The 18039-nt window shown below is 34.3% G+C and overlaps 1 long non-coding RNA gene across 1 annotated transcript in view; it reads left to right on the forward strand.

Annotated features, from left to right (window-relative positions):
• Positions 1–18039, forward strand: part of LINC02899 (long intergenic non-protein coding RNA 2899) — a 226918-nt gene that overhangs the window by 197627 nt on the left and 11252 nt on the right. The gene's annotated exons all lie outside the window — the stretch shown is intronic.

Raw genomic sequence — 18039 nt, forward strand, 5'->3', positions numbered from 1 at the left:
TCATATATATGATTTATATAATATATATATATCTTATGTATGATGATATATGATACATATTATATATCATATATATGATGATACATATGATACATAATATATATGATATATATATGATATATATATTTATATATATCACAGTTTCTTTATCCACTAGTTAATTGATGGGCATTTAGGTTGGTTCCACATTTTTGCAATTGTGAATTGTGCTGCTACAAACATGCATGTGCAGGTATCCTTTTTGTATAACGACTTATTTTCCTCTGGCTAGATACCCAGTAGTGGGATAGCTGGATCAAATGGTAGTTCTACTTTTAGTTTTTTAAGGAATCACCACACTGATTTCCATACTGGTTTTACTAGTTTACGTTCCCACCAGCAGTGTAGCAGTGTTCCTTGTTTACTGCATCTACACCAACATAAATCATTTTTTGATTTTTTGATCATGGCCATTCTTGCAGGAGTAAGGTGGTATCACATTGTGGTTTTGATTTGCACTTCCCTGATCATTAGTGATGTTGAGCACTGTTTCATGTTTGTTGGCAATGTACATCTTCTTTTGAGAATTGTCTATTCATGTCCTTAGCCCACTTTTTGAGTGGACACTAATAGTTTGAGTTTTTCAATTAGCCAGGTGTGGTTATGGGCACCTGTCGTCCTAGCTACTCAGGAAGCTGAGGCTGGAGGATCACTTGAGCCCAGGAGTTCAAGGTTACAGTGAGCCATGATAGTGCTGGGTGACCAAGTGAGACCTTGTCTTGAATAAACAAACAAACACATGAATAAATAAATAAATAAATAAATGAATAAATAAATAATGGCTAAAATATATATTCACAGATTCCCGTTTGATTATTCCTACTTTTACTATACAATTTTGCCATGGTTAAGTCTCATTATTTTTTCTGATTTCAAGTTTCTAAATCAGGAATTGGAAAACTATGTCTCCTGGGTAGGGTTGCTTGATAAAATATAGGAGGCCCAGCAAAATTTGAATTTCAAATAAACAACACCTTTTTCTTAGTATAAATGTGTTCCATACAATATCTGAGACATACTTACACTTTAAAAATATTTTTATGACATGCAAATACCATTGACTGTCCTGTATTTTTATTTGCTGGCAACTTTTCCCATGGGCCAAATCCAGCCTAGCAGCTGTTTTATAAATAAGGTTTTGTTGGAACATGGCCGCTCTTCATTCTTATGCCTTGCTTGTAGCTACTTTTGCACTACAGTGGCAAAGATGAGTAGTTGTAGCAGATATCAAATAGCCTATAAAGTCTAAATATCGATTATCTGGTTGTTTACAGAAAAACCTTGGCAATCTCTGATCATAATGATAATAATTTGTAATATAATATTTGTATCATCTGATTCTTTACTCAGTTCCTATCTCCTTTTGCATTGATATGATTGATAGATAGATGATAGATACATGCCATAAGAGTATTGCAGACTTCTCCTGCTTAAAGTGAATGTATTCATTCTCCCTTGAAGTTACTTCTTTTCCTATGAACAACATCAGTATTGACTACATTACCAATAATATGTGACCCATACCTTAACCCACAGATTTGTTTTGCATGTGTGTGGGGGGATGGGGCATGGGGAGTAAGGTCAGGATGTAATGAATCAGAAGCAGGTAGTTTCTAGACCCTTAGGCTTCTCATGTCCATTTTTGTCATTTTATATTGATTCTATTATTTTGTTACCTCAAAAATATGTCTCCTTTTTTATCATGAAAACCCACTAAATTCTCTTCATCAATGCTACTCTAGATTGCAGCTCCTTTGCCCTATAACTCAGTATAACCACATCAGATCTAGCCTTCACAGTGAATCAATATCTTTCTGCAGGTCAGCAAATTGTACCAAATCTTAAAATATTCCCCTTAATATGTATTTATTTATCAAAGATATTAATATATATTGAAGGCCTACTCTGTGCAAAGCAATAGTTTGGATGCTCAAGATATATCAGAGAATTTAAACAAGTATTTACCCTTGACCTTTTAGGGATAATAATCTATCAAATACATCAATATAAAAATGATTAGAAGTAACTTCATTATGAGGATTTACTAGATGTTATATATAACATCAGAGTAAACAGACTTCAAATTTAATAATATTGTCCAAGGACAAATAACGATTAATTATGGAGCCAGCATTTGAAATTCCATGGTTTACAATCTAAGAACTCAGACTGTGAGAAAGAGTTCCTTCCAATAACTAGTCTTTGTCACTGAACTTGAAGACATAGTCTAAGAGAGTAGGGCTATGTGCTCTCGCCAGTCTAACACAAATTAAGCTACTACATATATATTTGAGACAGGGTGTTGCTCTGTTGCCCAGGCTGGAGAGCAGTGGCACGATTTTTGCTCACTGCAACCTCAACCTCAACCTCCTGTGCTCTAAAGGTCCTGCTGAGTACCTGGGACAATAGGCACGAAACACAAAGCCCAGCTAAATTTAGTGTGTGTGTGTGTGTGTGTGTGTGTGTGTGTGTGTGTGTATAGAGATATATAAAATATTATATATTATATATAAAATATTATACATATTATATACAAATATACATATTATATATAAAATATATATAATATATAAAATATTATAAATAATATATAAAATATTATATATATTATATATAAACAGCCTATTTTAAAAGTGTATAAAATTTTCTTTATACTATTTGGATTTTTTCATCTCACTGAAGAGTCAATGCAGTTATCCATCATTTACCAAGCTTTTAAAGGCCAGGCTGACATTATATATACACATTTTATTTCCATGAAAGTGGACAGAGCTAGTTATTTTATTCTTACATAAATATTGTGCCATTCTCTACTGTTTCATTGCACAGAACATTTTTTGTATTCAGACTCAGTATTCCATGACAATACTGAATACATAGGATCAGGAGCAAGGGGTGCCTTTTGCTTAGATGCATAAAACTGTAGAATTCTGACATTTTACACTTTTGATATTAATTTACAAATAGTGTATTCTTTGGTGGAGATAATTTGTTTAAAAGTAGATAATGTCATTTTATTAGCTCAGCCAACTTCTTTGTCTTTTGCTGTTTTTTATTCTAAAATTTATTATTAATCTTGGGGCTTCCAATATTAATATCCAGAATTATATCTAGAATTTTTCTTTTTCCTAAATATAGTTGCTGTGCCCAATCCATACCAAGTTACTGACTATTTCCTATATTTGTCATGATTTATCACAGCGTTGAATCTTTATAATTTTTCTAAAACCTGAAATACTTCTATCTATATATATTTTTGATATTTAAACTTTGTTTAAATTTTAAATTCTAATTCAATTAAAAACTTTGAATAATACGTTTCTTATCTCATTGCCATAGCAGTTTGCACTAGTTTTTTTTTGTGTTTAAATGTCATTTGGACAGAGAAGATTATGTATTTACATTTATAATGTCATATAAGCATCCATTCAGTTTATCAAATTTTACTTATTTTAACTTATTAAACATAATGGATACATTGTCAAATTTATTTATGTCACTTAAGTTGAACACTGATTTGCAAACTACATTTATCCACAGTGAGCTTTTATTTTTTCAGTGATTTAAAGTTACTTGAAATCATTATATTAATAAATATTATGCTTTTTGGCTACTAGGATTAATTTTACAAAAATACTAATGTAAATTAAAATAAGATCATTACATTTGTAATCTCCTATTATTGGGCCTAACTTGTCTAGAAGCTATCGTTATGACCTCCTACTCTGACTTGGCAATTTCTTCAATTTATTATTATTGTTATTATAACCACTACTAAGTTCATTATGTTTCTAGAAACACACCTTGATTTTGCAATCTTTTTAGGGTATACCAGTATAGCAAAAGTATTAATTCACTTCAATTCTTAGTGCCATTATTTTTTTGTTAACATAAAGCACTGTTCATTCTAAGCCATATGAAGCCAATGGTGGTGGTGTAATGTCCTCTCAATTTTAGTGATTCAAATTTTTGTGAGAAGTGAATGAATAATACAACAAAAAAGTAGTGCTTTTCGTATCATGTACAAACTTTTTCAAGAAAATAAATACAGTAAGTAAATAATAAATAACTGATTATTCAGCTCCTGATGTAGTTTATGCAAACAGTGAATTGGAGGGAAAAATTGGCTTAACTATAAAAGTGGGCTTTGAGGTAGAGTGATATTTGTATTGACTTAGTCCATGCTGCCTAATACTTAATACAAAAAAAGAAAAAAAAGCAGGTTGGCAGAGAGTAGAAGTGAAAACAGCTCATTGTGCCATCTGTAGAGGGGCTTTCTAATGACATGTCACGATTACAATGTTTCCTGTTTCCCTTTAAATGTCAATTATCCTTATTAAGAAGTTAATTCATAATAACGACTCTCATTCATTTCTAGAAGAACATGAATAGTGAGCTCATAATTCAATTTGTTATTACAGTTAAACAAATTAACTTTACTTGGCCTAAAGTGCTCTTCTCTGATCAAGCATACCTTAATATTTAACAGATATAGATTATTAATGAGCTTATTGATTCACTTCATTGAAAACAGTTAAAATTCACATTAGGAGGTCGTGATAGAGACACATATGACTGACTGTGACTAAATGCAAAACTTGGACACTCTAAGCCAATTCTGTTATAATTTATTTCCTCTGGCAGGCTTGAAAACATAAATTATTCTGTGAACCTTGTATGCCTCTTAAGGACTAGACACATGTAACAATATTTAACATAACAGGTCAGCCATGGTGGCTCACACCTGTAATCCAGCACTTTGGGAGGCCAAGGCGGGAGAATCACCTGAGTTTGGGAGTTCGAGACCAACCTGACCAACATGGAGAAACCCTGTCTCTACTAAAAATACAAAATTAGCTGGTTGTGATGGCGCATGCCTGTAATCCCAACTACTCGGGAGGCTGAGCAGGAGAATCACTTGAATCCGGGAGGTGGAGGTTGCAGTGAGGTGAGATTGTGCCATGGCACATTGTGCTCCTGCCTGGGCGACAAGAGTGAAACTCCATCTCAAAAAAACAAATAAATAACATACTTTAAAAATTTTAAGATTAATTAAATAAATATGTGCCTAAAAATATGAGGAATACATTACTATATATAAATTGGTTATTAACGTATAAAAATAAACAGATATGCTAGGAGACACAGAGCAAGATGGTGGAATAGAAGCCTCCACTGATCAACCCTCCTGCAAGGACATCAACTTAGCAACTATCTACAAAATCAAAGCGCCTTTATATGAACCAAAAATCAGGTGAACACTCATAGTACCTGGTTTTAACTTCGTATCTGAGGCACTGAAGAGGTAAAGAGTCTTGGAACACTGACACCATCACTACCCTATCCCCTGGCAGCAGTGTTGGCATGCTATGGATAGATTTTCTGTGTGCCGATGAGAGGGTGAGAGCAGCAATTTTGAGGTAGTGAATTCAGTGCTGCTTTATTATAACAGAAAACAAAACCAGACCAAACTCAACTGATGCCTACCCATGGGGAACATATAACGAGGCCTACCCAGAGGGGACTCACCGATCCCAGTAGTCTGAAATTGAGTTCCTGCAAGCCTCACCACTGTGGACAAAAGTGCTGTGGAGCCCTAAATAAATTTGAAAGAATATCTAGGACAAAAGGAAGGCAAATCTTAGGTAAGGCCTAGTGCTTAACTGGACCTGAGACAGTGGAATGGTGGGGCACGTGACCTATTGAGACACCAGCCACGGTAGGCAAGTGAATGCTGGCAGCACCCATCTCCTAAACCCAGGATCCACAGCTCATGGTTCCAAAAGAGAACTCTTCTCTAGGTGTGAAGAGATAAGAAGGAAGAATGGGGGAGTGGCAAGAGTAGGGAAGACTTTGTCTTGCATCTTGGATACCAGCCCAGCAACAGCAGGATAGGGCACCAGTCAGAGTCGTGGGGCCCCCTTTCCAGACACTAGCTATAGAATGGCATTCCTAGAAGTACGCTGGCTCAGAAGGGAAAAGAACCCAGTCCTGGAAGCATTCATAACATGCTAACCAAAGAGCCCCTTGGCCTTGAATAACCAGCAGTAAAACCAAGTTACTATGTTGAAGGCTTTGGATGAGCCTCTGAAACTTCCTGGCTTCAAATGAGATGCAGACCATTAGAGCTGTGGTGGATATGGGGCAGGACTTCTTCTACTTGAGAAAAGTGGAGGAAAAAGTAAAGAGGAATTGATCTTGCACCTTAGGTACCAGCTCAGCCACAGGAAGGCAGAGAAAGCAGAGCATCAAGCAAGTTCTTAGGGTCCCTGATTCCAGGACTTGGCTCTTGAATGGCAGTTCTGGACCTGCCCTGGGCAAGACTTTAGCTCACTGCCCTGAAGAGTGAGTCTCAGGCCAGGTAGCATTCATCACAAGCTGACTAAATAGATCTTAGGCCTTAAAGGATCATCCGCGGTAGTCTGACAGTACTCCTTGTGGGTCCGTGGTGGCCGTGGCCATGGAGGGAGGCTCGTTTGACTTTAGAAAGTGGAAGGAAAAGTGGGAAGGACTACATCAGGTAGAACATGGGGTTCTAACATATTTTAATCTAGTCCATGAATCCCAAACAGGACCTCTGGACCCAACCGATGCCTGGGGAACTCACCACTCTGAAGAGAAGGAAACGGTTCTGGCTAGCCTTGCTTTTCCTTTCCATCTGCTGACTGTGGAGACTCAGGGACTTCAACAAATGTAGGCAGTAGCCAGGAAGTGGTTACAGCAGGCTAGATAATTCTTCCAGGCTTGTACAAGACCAACAAGAAGTTACCTTTACAAGTCTTCAAAAACCACAACGTTGCTGGGCTTGGGGTGCCCCTGAAGTAGATAAAGCTGAGATCACTACACACAAGTCATTTCAAATATCTAAATAGCCTTTCATGTAAAACAGGTAAAAACAAGCCCAGACTAAGAAGACTACAATAAATACCTGACTTTTCAAAGCCTGGACACAAATAAATATCAAGTATCAAGTCTATCCAGGAAAACATTAACTCACCTAATGAAGTAAATAAGCATCAGGAATCAATACTGGAGGAACAGAGATATGTGGCATTTTCAAACAAAGAATTCAAAATAGCTGTGCTTAGGAAACTCAAAAAAATTCAAAATAACACAGAGAAGAAATTGAGAATTCTAAAAGTTAAATTTACCAAAAAGATTGCAATAAGTAAAAAGAATCAAGCAGAAATTCTAGAGCTGAAAACTGCAATTGGCCTACTTAAGAATGTGTCAAAGTCTTTTAATAGCAAAATTGATGAAGCAGAAGAAAGAATTATTGAGCCTGAAAACAGGCTGTTTGAAAAAAAACAGAAGACACAGAAGAATAAAAAACAATGAAGCACATCTACAGGATCTAAAAAAATAACCTCAAAAGGGCAGGTCTAATAGTTATTGGCCTTAAAGAAGATGCAGAAAAATAGATAAGGGTAGAAAGTTCTCTTGAAGGGATAATAACTAGAACTTTCTAAACCTAGAGAAAGATATCAATATCCAAGTACAAGAATGTTATAACAGCAAGCAGGTTTAATCCAAACAATACTTCTTCAGGCATTTAATAATCAAACTCCCAAAGGTTAAGGATAAAGAAAGAATTCTAAAAGCAGTAAGAGAAAAGAAACAAATAAAATGCAATGGAGCTCCAATATGTGTGGTCACAGACTTTTCAGTGAAATCCTATAGGTTAGAATAGAGTGTCATAACATATTTAATGCTCTGAAGGAAAAACTTTTACTCTAGTATAGTATATCCAGTGAAAATATCTTTCAAACATGAAGGAGAAATAAAGACTTTTCCAGATAATAACCTGAGCGATTTCATCAACACCAGAAATGTCCTGGAAGAAATGCTAAAGAGAGTTCTTCAATCAGAAAGAAAAGGGCATTAATGAGCAAGAAGAAATAATCTGAAAGTACGAAACTCACTGGTATTAGTCAGTACACAGAAAAACACAGAATATTATAACACTGTAATCGTGGTGTGTAATCTACTCTTCTCTTAAGTAGAAAGTCTAAATGATGAACCAACCAAAAATAATAACTACAACAGCTGTTTAATGCATAAACAGTACAATAAGACATAAAGAGAAACAACAAAATTTAAAAATTAGGGGGACAAAATTAAGACAGAGAGTCTTTATTCATTTTTTTACTTGATTGTTTATGCAAATAGTATTTAAGTTGTTGTCAAATTAAAATAATGGGTTATAAGATAGTATTTGCCACCCTCATGGTAAACTCAATCCAAAAACACATATCAGAAACACAAAAAATAAAAAGCAAGAAACTAGTCATATCACCAGACAAAATCACCTTTATAAAAAGGAAGACAAAAAGAGTAGCAAGGAAGAGAAGACCACAAAACAGCCAGAAAACATATTGTTAAAATGGCAGGAGTAAGTCTTTACTTATCAATAATAACATTGAATGTAAATGTTATTATTTACATTCCAAAGTCTCCAATAGTATGGCTGAATGAATGAAAAAACAAGACCCACTGATCTGTTGCCTACAAGTAACATACCTCACCTATAAAGACACATAGACTGTAAATAAAAGGATAAAAAAAAAGACATGCCATCCCAATGGAAACCAAAATAGAGCAGGAATGGCTATACTTATATCAAACAAAATCGATTTCAAGACAAAAACCATAAGAAAAGATAAAGAAGGTCACTATATAATGGTGAAGGTACCAATTCAGCAAGAGAATATAACAATTTTAAGTATGTATGCACTCTATTCTGGATCACCCAGATATATAAAGCCAGTATTTTTAAAGCTGAAGAGAGATATAGGCCCCAATACAATAATAGCTGGAGAATTTAATACCCCACTTTCAGCATTGGACAGACCATCCAGAAAGAAAATCAATAAAGAAACATCACACTTAATTTGCACTATAGAACAAGTGAATCTAACATATATTTACAGAACATTTCACCCAATGGCTGCAGAATACACATTACTTTCCTCAGCACTTGCGTCATTTTCAAAGATAGACCATATTTTAGGTCACAAAACAGGCCTTAAAACATTAAAAAAAGAAATAATATAATACAACTTCTCTGACTATAATGGAAAAAAACTAAAAATTAATAAAATGATAAACGTTGGAAAATATATAACTACATGGAAATTAAACACTATGATCCTGAATGGACAGTGGGTCAATGAACAAACTAAAAAGGAAGTAGAAAAACTTCTTGAAATAAATGACCATGGAAACACAACAAACCAACACTAATGGGATACAGAAAACATAGTACTAAGAAGGAAGTTTGTAGCTAATGCCAACATCAAAAAAATAAGAAAAACTTCAAATAAATAACCTAAGGATGTATTTTAAAGAAATAGAAAACTAAGAGCAAGCCATACCCAAAATTAGTAGAAGAAAATAAATAATAAAGATCAGAGCTGAAATAAATGAAATTGATAAGAAAAAAATACAAAACTTCAATTAAAAAGTTGTTTTTTAAAAGAAAAATGAAATTAACAAACCTTTAGCTAGATTTAAAAAAAAAGAGAGAAGACACAAATAAATAAAATAAGAGTTGAAAAAGGAGACATTAAAAACTGATACCACAGAAATTTAAAAGATCATTAGTGGCTACTATAAGCAACTATATGCCAATAAATTGGAAAATCCAGAAGGAATGGACAAATTTGTAGACATATCCAACCTACCAATATTGAACCACAAAAAAAACCAAAACCTAAACAGACCAAAACAAATACGAAGATCAAAATAGCATTAAAAAGTCTCCAAATAAATAAAAACCTGAGGCCTGAGGGCTTTATTGCTGAATTCTAACAATCATTTAAAGAAGAGCTAATACCAATTCTATTCAAACTATTCTAAAAAATAGAGGAGAAAAGAATACATCCAAATTCATTATACAAGGTCAGTATTACCCTGATACCAAAACCAGACAAAGACACATCAAAAAAAGGAAATCAAAGAAAACTACAAGCCAATATTTCTTATTAATATTGATGCAAAAATCCACAACAAAATACTAGCAAACTAAATTCAACAATACATTAGAAAAATTTTTCATCATAACCAAGTAGAATCACTTTATCCCAGGGATGTGAGGATGGTTTAACATTTGCAAATCAATGTGATACATAATGTCAATAGAATAAAGGATAAAAACCATGTGATTATTTCAATGGATGCTGAAAAAGCATTCAATAAAATTCAACATTCCTTCATAATTAAAAGAAACTAAAAAGAACTGGATTTAGAAAAAAAATTCCTCAATAAAATAAAAGACATATATGACAGACCCACAGCTAGTATCATACTGAATGAAAAAAACTGAAAACCTTTCCTCTAAGATCTGGAACACGACAAGGATGCCCACTTACACCACTGTTATTGAACATAGCTCTGGAAATCCTACCTAGAGCAACTAGACATAAGAAAGAAATAATGGGCATCCAAATAATAAGGAAATAAATCAAATTAGCCTTGTTTTCAGATGATGTGATATTATATTTGGAGAAACCTAAAAACTCAACAAAAAACTATTGAACTTATAACCAAATTCAGTAAAGTTGCAGAATACACAATCGATATACAAAAATCAGTGGCATTACTGTATGTCAACAGTGAACAATCTGAAAAAAATAGATTAAAAAAATCTCATTTACAATAGTCACACATAAAATTAAAAGCATTGGAATTAATGTAACCAAAGAAGTGAAAGATCTCTAAAATGAAAACTATAAAGTCCTGATGAAAAAAATGCATAGGACACCAAAAAATGAAACATATTCAATCTTTACATATTGGAAGAATCAATATAGTTAAAATGTTCATACTACCCAAAGCAATTTACAAATTCAGTGCAATCCCTATCAAAATACCAATGACATTGTTCACAGAAATAGAAAAGAAAAACAATCCTAAAATATATGTAGAAAAACAAAAGTCTGAGAATAGCCAAAACTATCCTAGGAAAATAACAAAACTGAAGTAATCACATTACCTGACTTTAAACTATACTACAGAGCTAAAGTAACCAAAATAGCAAAGTACTGGCACTAAAACTGACACATAGACCAATGGAACAGAATAGAGAACCCAGAAACAAATCCATACACCCACCGTGAGCTCATTTTCAACAAAAGTGCCAAGAACATATATTCAGGAAAAGACAGTCTCGTCAATAAATGGTGCTGGAAAAATTGGACATCCATATGCAGACTAATGAAACTAGACCCCTATCTCCACCATATACAAAAATCAAGTCAAGTGGATTAAAGACTTAAATCTAAGACCTCAAACTATGCAAGTGTTACAAGACAACACTGGGGAAACTCTCTAGGACATTGGTCTTGGAAAAAAATTTTGAGTACTACCTCACTAGGACATGCAACCAAAGTGGAAAAAAAAAATAACTGGTAAATGGGATTACGTCAAGTTAAAAAGCTTCTACACAGCGCAGGAAACAATGAACAAAATGAAGACACAACCTACAGAATTGGAGAAAATATTTGCAAACTACTCACCTGACAAAGGATTAATAACCAGAATATATAGGGAGCTCAAACAACTTCATAGGAAAAAATCTAATAATCCAACTTAAAAATGATCAAAAGATTTGAATAGACATTTCTAAAAAGAAGACATACAAATGGTGAACAGGGATATGAAAAGGTGCTCAACATCATCGGACATCAGAAAAATGCACATTAAAACTACAATGAGATATCATCTCACCCCAGTTAAAATGGCTTGTATCCAAAAGACAGGCAATAATAAATGATGACAAGGATATGGAGAAAAGGAAACCCTTGCACATTGTTGGTGGGAATGTAAATTAGTACAACCACTATGGAGAACAGATTGGAGGTTTCTCAAAAAATTAAAAATTGAACTCTCATATGATCCAGCAATCCCACTGCTGAGTATACACCATAAGGAAACGAAATTCGTAACGGAGCTATCTGCTCTCCCATGCTGCAGCACTGTTTACAATAGCCAAAATTTGAAGCAACCTAAATGTCCATCAACAGGTGAATGGATAAAGAAAATGTGGTACTTATATACAATGGTGTACTGTTCAGCCGTAAAAAAGAATGATATTGTGTTATTTGTAACAAAGCGGATGAAACTAGAGGTCATTATGCTAAGGGTAATAAGTGAGGCACAGAAAAGACAAACATCTCATGTTCTCACTTATTTGTGGCATCTGAAAATTGAAACAAATGAACTCAGGAAGCTAGAGAGTAGAAGGATAGTTACCAGAGGCTGAGAAGGGTAGTGAGATGGAAGGTGCAGGAGGCTGGGACAGTTATGAGTTAAAAAAATTATAAAGAATAAATAAGACCTAGTATTTGATAGTAAAACAGGGTCTATAGTTAATAATTTAATTGTACATTTTAAATATCTAAAAGAGTATATAATTTGATTGTTTGTAACACAAAGGATAAGTGCTTGAGGGGATGGAGACCCCATTTTACATGATGTGATTATCACTCACTGCACACCAGTATCAAAACATCTCATGTACCCCATAAATATATACACCTATTATGTACCCACAAAAATTACAAATTTTTAAAAATTAATGGACAAGGTTGGTACATAGTCGCTGTATGTTTGGATATTTACCACCTAGAGAAAGCATGAAATCATATATAGTAAAATGTAGAAGAATACACTGAGTCACTCCCTACTAGCTCTTAATGATCTCAGTCAAAGTGCCATCCCACATGAGTGACTCTGAGCATGGGAATTTTTTTATGATGGGGAATTTTTCAATTTGTCTATAAGAGCCAAGGTGTCTAATACTCACATTCTTTTTGTGTGTGTGATAAATTGAAATGGTAGTACCAATTCTGGCCTGCTACTCTGACTTCGGGCCTTGTCTTATGACCTGCTTTGTTCATGAGATATTAGTAAACATAACATAACCCAAAATTTGAAAAAAAAAAAAAAAAAAAAACAGAAGCTCTTGCACTGTTGGTCTTTCCTAAATGTTGTGCCTTTGCTATTGCTGTTCACGCTAGTCTGCTGAAGGATAAGAGGCAGCTAGAATAAAGGTGAGCTGTCTAGGTTGTCCTAGCCACAGGTAGTCTTACTGGATCAACAGCCATCCTACCCACAGCCAAATTAAGTAGGCTCCCTCAACAACCATCCCAGATGCCTGAATAATAAACAGTTTTATTGTATGCCACTGAATTGTTGTGGCTGTTGTTAGAAAGCAATGGAAAATCAATATGTATGTGTTGGAACTGGTCAGCTGTAGCCAGTAAGAGCATGGGAGGTAATATCTGTAATATCTAAATGTCTAACTGGGCAGCATGTATGGACTAGCCACTGTATACTATTTGGTTGGAGTTTATGAACTAGTCAGTTTGACAGGTCTTTTTTTCCTTCTTTTATTTTTTCCTGAAATCTCAAAGTAATTTAAAACAGTGAGAGTCTTCTGAGTTATAATTGTCTGCTTTGTTCAGGATGTCTGAAGGTAGCTTTGGATGACTTATCTAATCATCTTGTTGAAGCTTGTCTGTGTACATCTTCATCTGGCCAGTTTTTAATAAAGCAGTACACTCATACTGGTCAGCCTACTAAGATTGCTAAATTAATCTGGAGCAGTCAGTGGGTCTGAGATGGCAGTGTTTTTGGACTTATGTTACACAGAAGAATCAGTGTTTTGTGGGGGCATCAGTTTGTCCTGGAAAATCAACATGGAAAAAAATCAATCTTTCCAAGGTGACAGGGTTGTGAGCCATTTCTATATATTTCCCCCAAATCTTGGTTCATTCATTCAATTAATATTTAATAAACACCTTCTATGTAGTAAAAATTGTACCTAGAACAGGAGACAGCAATGAATAAGACAGCTATAATATCAAGCTTATATTCTTATGAAAGATATTTTGATTCTCTGAGAATTGCGACCCTCGAGTGAGCAGAAATGAGGTTGCAGATGTTGTTACAATCACATTAGTGTTCTTCAAGATTAGAGGTGGCCCCCTTGAAGGTCCTCATGATAGGGAACCCACCCGTGCCCTTCATCTCTACATGCAGTTCTTACCTCTGCATCCAAGATGCCCCAAAGGTGGATGTACAAAGTAGGACTAACCGCTGAAGAAATCTGCCTTGTCTTTGAGCTAAGCCACTCAAAATCTGTGTATTTATGCTTGTGTCATCTGTCCCCCATGACTCACAATGAACTTAGATCCTCACTTGAGAGATTGTAGAATGCTGTCACTCCAGTTTTCTCTTGCCAATTCCCTTTGTCTAATGAGGGCTGGATGATGTTGCATATTTCCTGTTGCATATTTGTTAGTCATTAACAATTTGGCTGTCGGTTTTCAGATTGACTGAGCTATGTCACTTAAGGTTAAAATGATGATGTGAAAATCATTTGAAGAGTGTCTAAGCAATCATGCCCATCTCAGGTTTGTGACAGGGTTCTAACAAATGCATGCATTTAAGGTATAAACTGTCTTGAATTCAGTGAGGATGTTTAAGTGATACATGGATTAGTAGACATGGAGATAAATACACAGGTAAAAATATAAATTCTTAATAAGGTTATTTTATAGTGTTATCCAAATTTCTGCTTGTCATTATCTCTCTATTCATAATATTTTTAAATTTTATCTAGGTGTCATTTTTAAGTAATTGTTGGATGTTTTCTGGAGTCATTTTGTGAAAAACCTACTCATCTGAACCTAAGGACAAATGAAACATTAGTTGAACACAGCTATTACCTGAATCTCAATGAAGCATCGCTAAAGTGATAAAGAAAAGTAGATACACCAACTGGAAAGTAGATGCATAGTTATAACTTCTTCCTATAAAAATCATACTTTGCCAGAATAACTTTTTTACAGTTACAAGCAACAAGAAAAGCAAAAAGCAAAAGGCAAATTTGTTTACCTTTTTTCAAAATATTTTATTTTAAATCTATTAAAATATAAAATTCACGGCGCTATGCTACATGTATGTGTATATATATATTTTTTGAGACAGAGTCTCGCTCTATTGCCCAGGCTGGAGTGCAGTGGCATGATCTTGGCCCACTGCAACCTCCGCCTCCTGGGTGTAAGCTGTTCTCCTGCCTCAACATTCTGAGTAGCTGGAACTACAGGCACCCACCACCATGCCTGGCTAATTCTTGTATTTTTAGTAGAGACGGGGTTTCGCCATAGTGGCCAGGCTGGTCTCAAACTGCTGACCTTGTGATTCACCTGCCTTGGCCTCCCAAAGTGCTGGGATTACAGGTGTGAGCCACCGTGTTCAGTCTAATAAATATATTTAAGAGTAACATTTTATATCCTCATTTCAGACAGTAAAAAATTGCAGATTTTTTCCTTTCATTTAATTGATGAAAATTGTGCATATTTATCATGTACAGCATGTTTGTAAAAGTATGTACATTGTGGAATGGCTAAATTGAGCTAATTAACATATGCATTACCTCACATATGTATCATTTATTTGTGATGAGAACACTTCAAATCTGCTCTCTTGGTAATTTACGAGTTCAATTCATTGTTATTAACTATAGTCGCCATATTGTTAAATAGATCTCTTTAACTTATTTTTTCTATCTAACTGAAATTTTGTTTTATTTGATCAAGATCTCGCAAGCCCATCCCTGTCCCCCAACTTTGGTAACTACCATTCTGTTCTATACTTCTATGAGTTCAACTTTTTAGATTCCACACATAAATAAGACCATGAAGCAGATGTGTTTTCTGGATTAAAAACAAACAAACAAACAAACAAAAACAAACAAACAAAAACTTTTGCTTGTATTTATTTCTTGCTTTTGATAAAATTATCAACCAAAATTAAATATATGTCCTAAAGAAAGATGCATGACTGAAGATAAGGAACCAGGTTTTCTTGGGTTGCTTATAATACATCTAAGAAAACATAGTTCACCCCCTTTTCTTTTGTTTAAGTGAGATGCTATGTGCCAAAAATATCTATAATTTTACCCTCTTAGGAAAAGTTCAGCTATACTTTATGCATTTTTCCTCATTTAACAAATGCCAAACAACATGATGTTGAAATCTTTCTCAGTAAGAAATTACAGCTGGCATAAGTATAGACTATATATGTCTTGGTATTTGAATTTTGTTCACTTTATGTTATCTTCTTTCTATTTTTTAGGTTTCAATTCTATAAATGCCTGGTAATTCCACGTGTGAAATGCACAAAAAATATGTATCTTGTGTCTGTTCATATATCCTGTGATAACCTGAAGTCTTTATTCTCTCTTATTAAAAATGTTAGTATAAATATAATTGTAATTAGAAACCATTTTACTCACTAAATTATACTTCTATGCAAAAGATTGCCATATATGTACTTTTCCTAATTTCTATTGACCTAAGGAATTAAATAATAATTGAGATATGATTTACATTTCTTGATGTGATTTTGGTAAAGGCTGTATTTTAGAGTCATAGTCTTTCCACAAAGCCAGGATTTGGTCTTGCTTCCTGCATCTGTCTGGTGTCTTTTCATTGTAAGCAGCAGAATACCAACATAACTAGCTGGAGGAGCTGAAAGAATAATGGTATTTTCTGGGCCTATTTAGTGTGCGTTGTTGGATGAATAGAGTCATTCTCAGATTGCCAATAAATATTTTGAAACAGGAATAACCAAGATAGAAATATTAAAAAGAATTGCTGCATATGATCATTGTGCAGTGCACGTCACTGTTAAACTCACCCCTCTTTAAATTCTATTTCCATTTCATTCATAATATTATATTTTGTCAGTATTCCTTCTAACTTTTTTGCCATCTTAATTGACCTCATTTGTCCCCTTTACTCTGCTTTTGGTTCGTTTCTCCTTTCAATCTAATGTACTTGTAGAGTAATGTAATTTGTGTCCCACCTATATAGTGATAACCATTCATAAATGTTTAGATCCTTGAGAGAAGAAAATATTTTCTGGTATCAAAACTGAATTATATTAATTGCTCAATAACATTTGTTAAGTTGAACTAAGGGAATTTGAAATATAACTTGCAAACTTTTTTCTCTTCTTCAGACTCATACATTGAACTTTGTTGCATGCATATCTATAAATGCTTAACAGACATTTCACTCTCATTTATCCCAAAACATCTATCCCATTTTTCAATTCACACTCCAAACCCATTACGCTTGCATTTCCTCTCAGTTAAATTTAATGTCATCTACACAACCATCCTTCATCTCTTACTTACTTTATGCACCCGATCAAGTATCGATTCATGGAAATTCTCATTTCTGTATCTCAAATCCATCCCCCTTTCCACTCACTTCTACATCTGTCATAAGCCGGACCCTGGCAGAATTCACATGCAATTATCTCTAAATGGTCTCCCAGCCTCTAGTTCTAAATCATCTCAAAATTCTGCAGTAGAAGATTTTCAGACCTTTAGCAAATACCTTACTGTTTTATGCCTACTTAAATTTTTTTAATGGCTCACTGAAATAATTAGAGTAAGTGGAAAATGGTTTTATACAGTTCTCCATGATCTGTTTAGCAAAACACTGTGTTGCCCTGGGGTCAAATTGCCTGGGTTCTTAATCCATCCTCTATGTCATTAGCTTTGTGAAGTTATGTAAGTTATTTGACTATTCTGAGCCTTGATTTCCCCATCTGTAAAATTGATATGACAATAGAACCATCCCACAGAGTTGTTTTCAGGATTAATGAATGATCCATGTAAAGTGCTTAGAAGAATATGAATCACAATAAATCACTGAATAAGTGTTAGCTCTTCTAATTTTCCCTTTTTGATTAGGTAAACTTTTTGGCCTTTTTTTTTACTCATCCTTAAAAGCTCAAGTATTTGAAGAATCACTTTGACAAAGACTGAAATAATTTATATTTATCTGTTATAATGTATGTAACATTATATAAAAACAATCTCTTTAAGCATCTGTCTTCCCCATTGGAGAAGCAAGAAATATGTCCACCTAATCTCTATGTCTCTCACACCCAGAATAGTGCCTAGTAAATTGTAGCTTT

The sequence above is a fragment of the Homo sapiens genome, chromosome 5, assembly GCF_000001405.40.
Source record: "Homo sapiens chromosome 5, GRCh38.p14 Primary Assembly".
Lineage (NCBI taxonomy): Eukaryota > Metazoa > Chordata > Mammalia > Primates > Hominidae > Homo > Homo sapiens.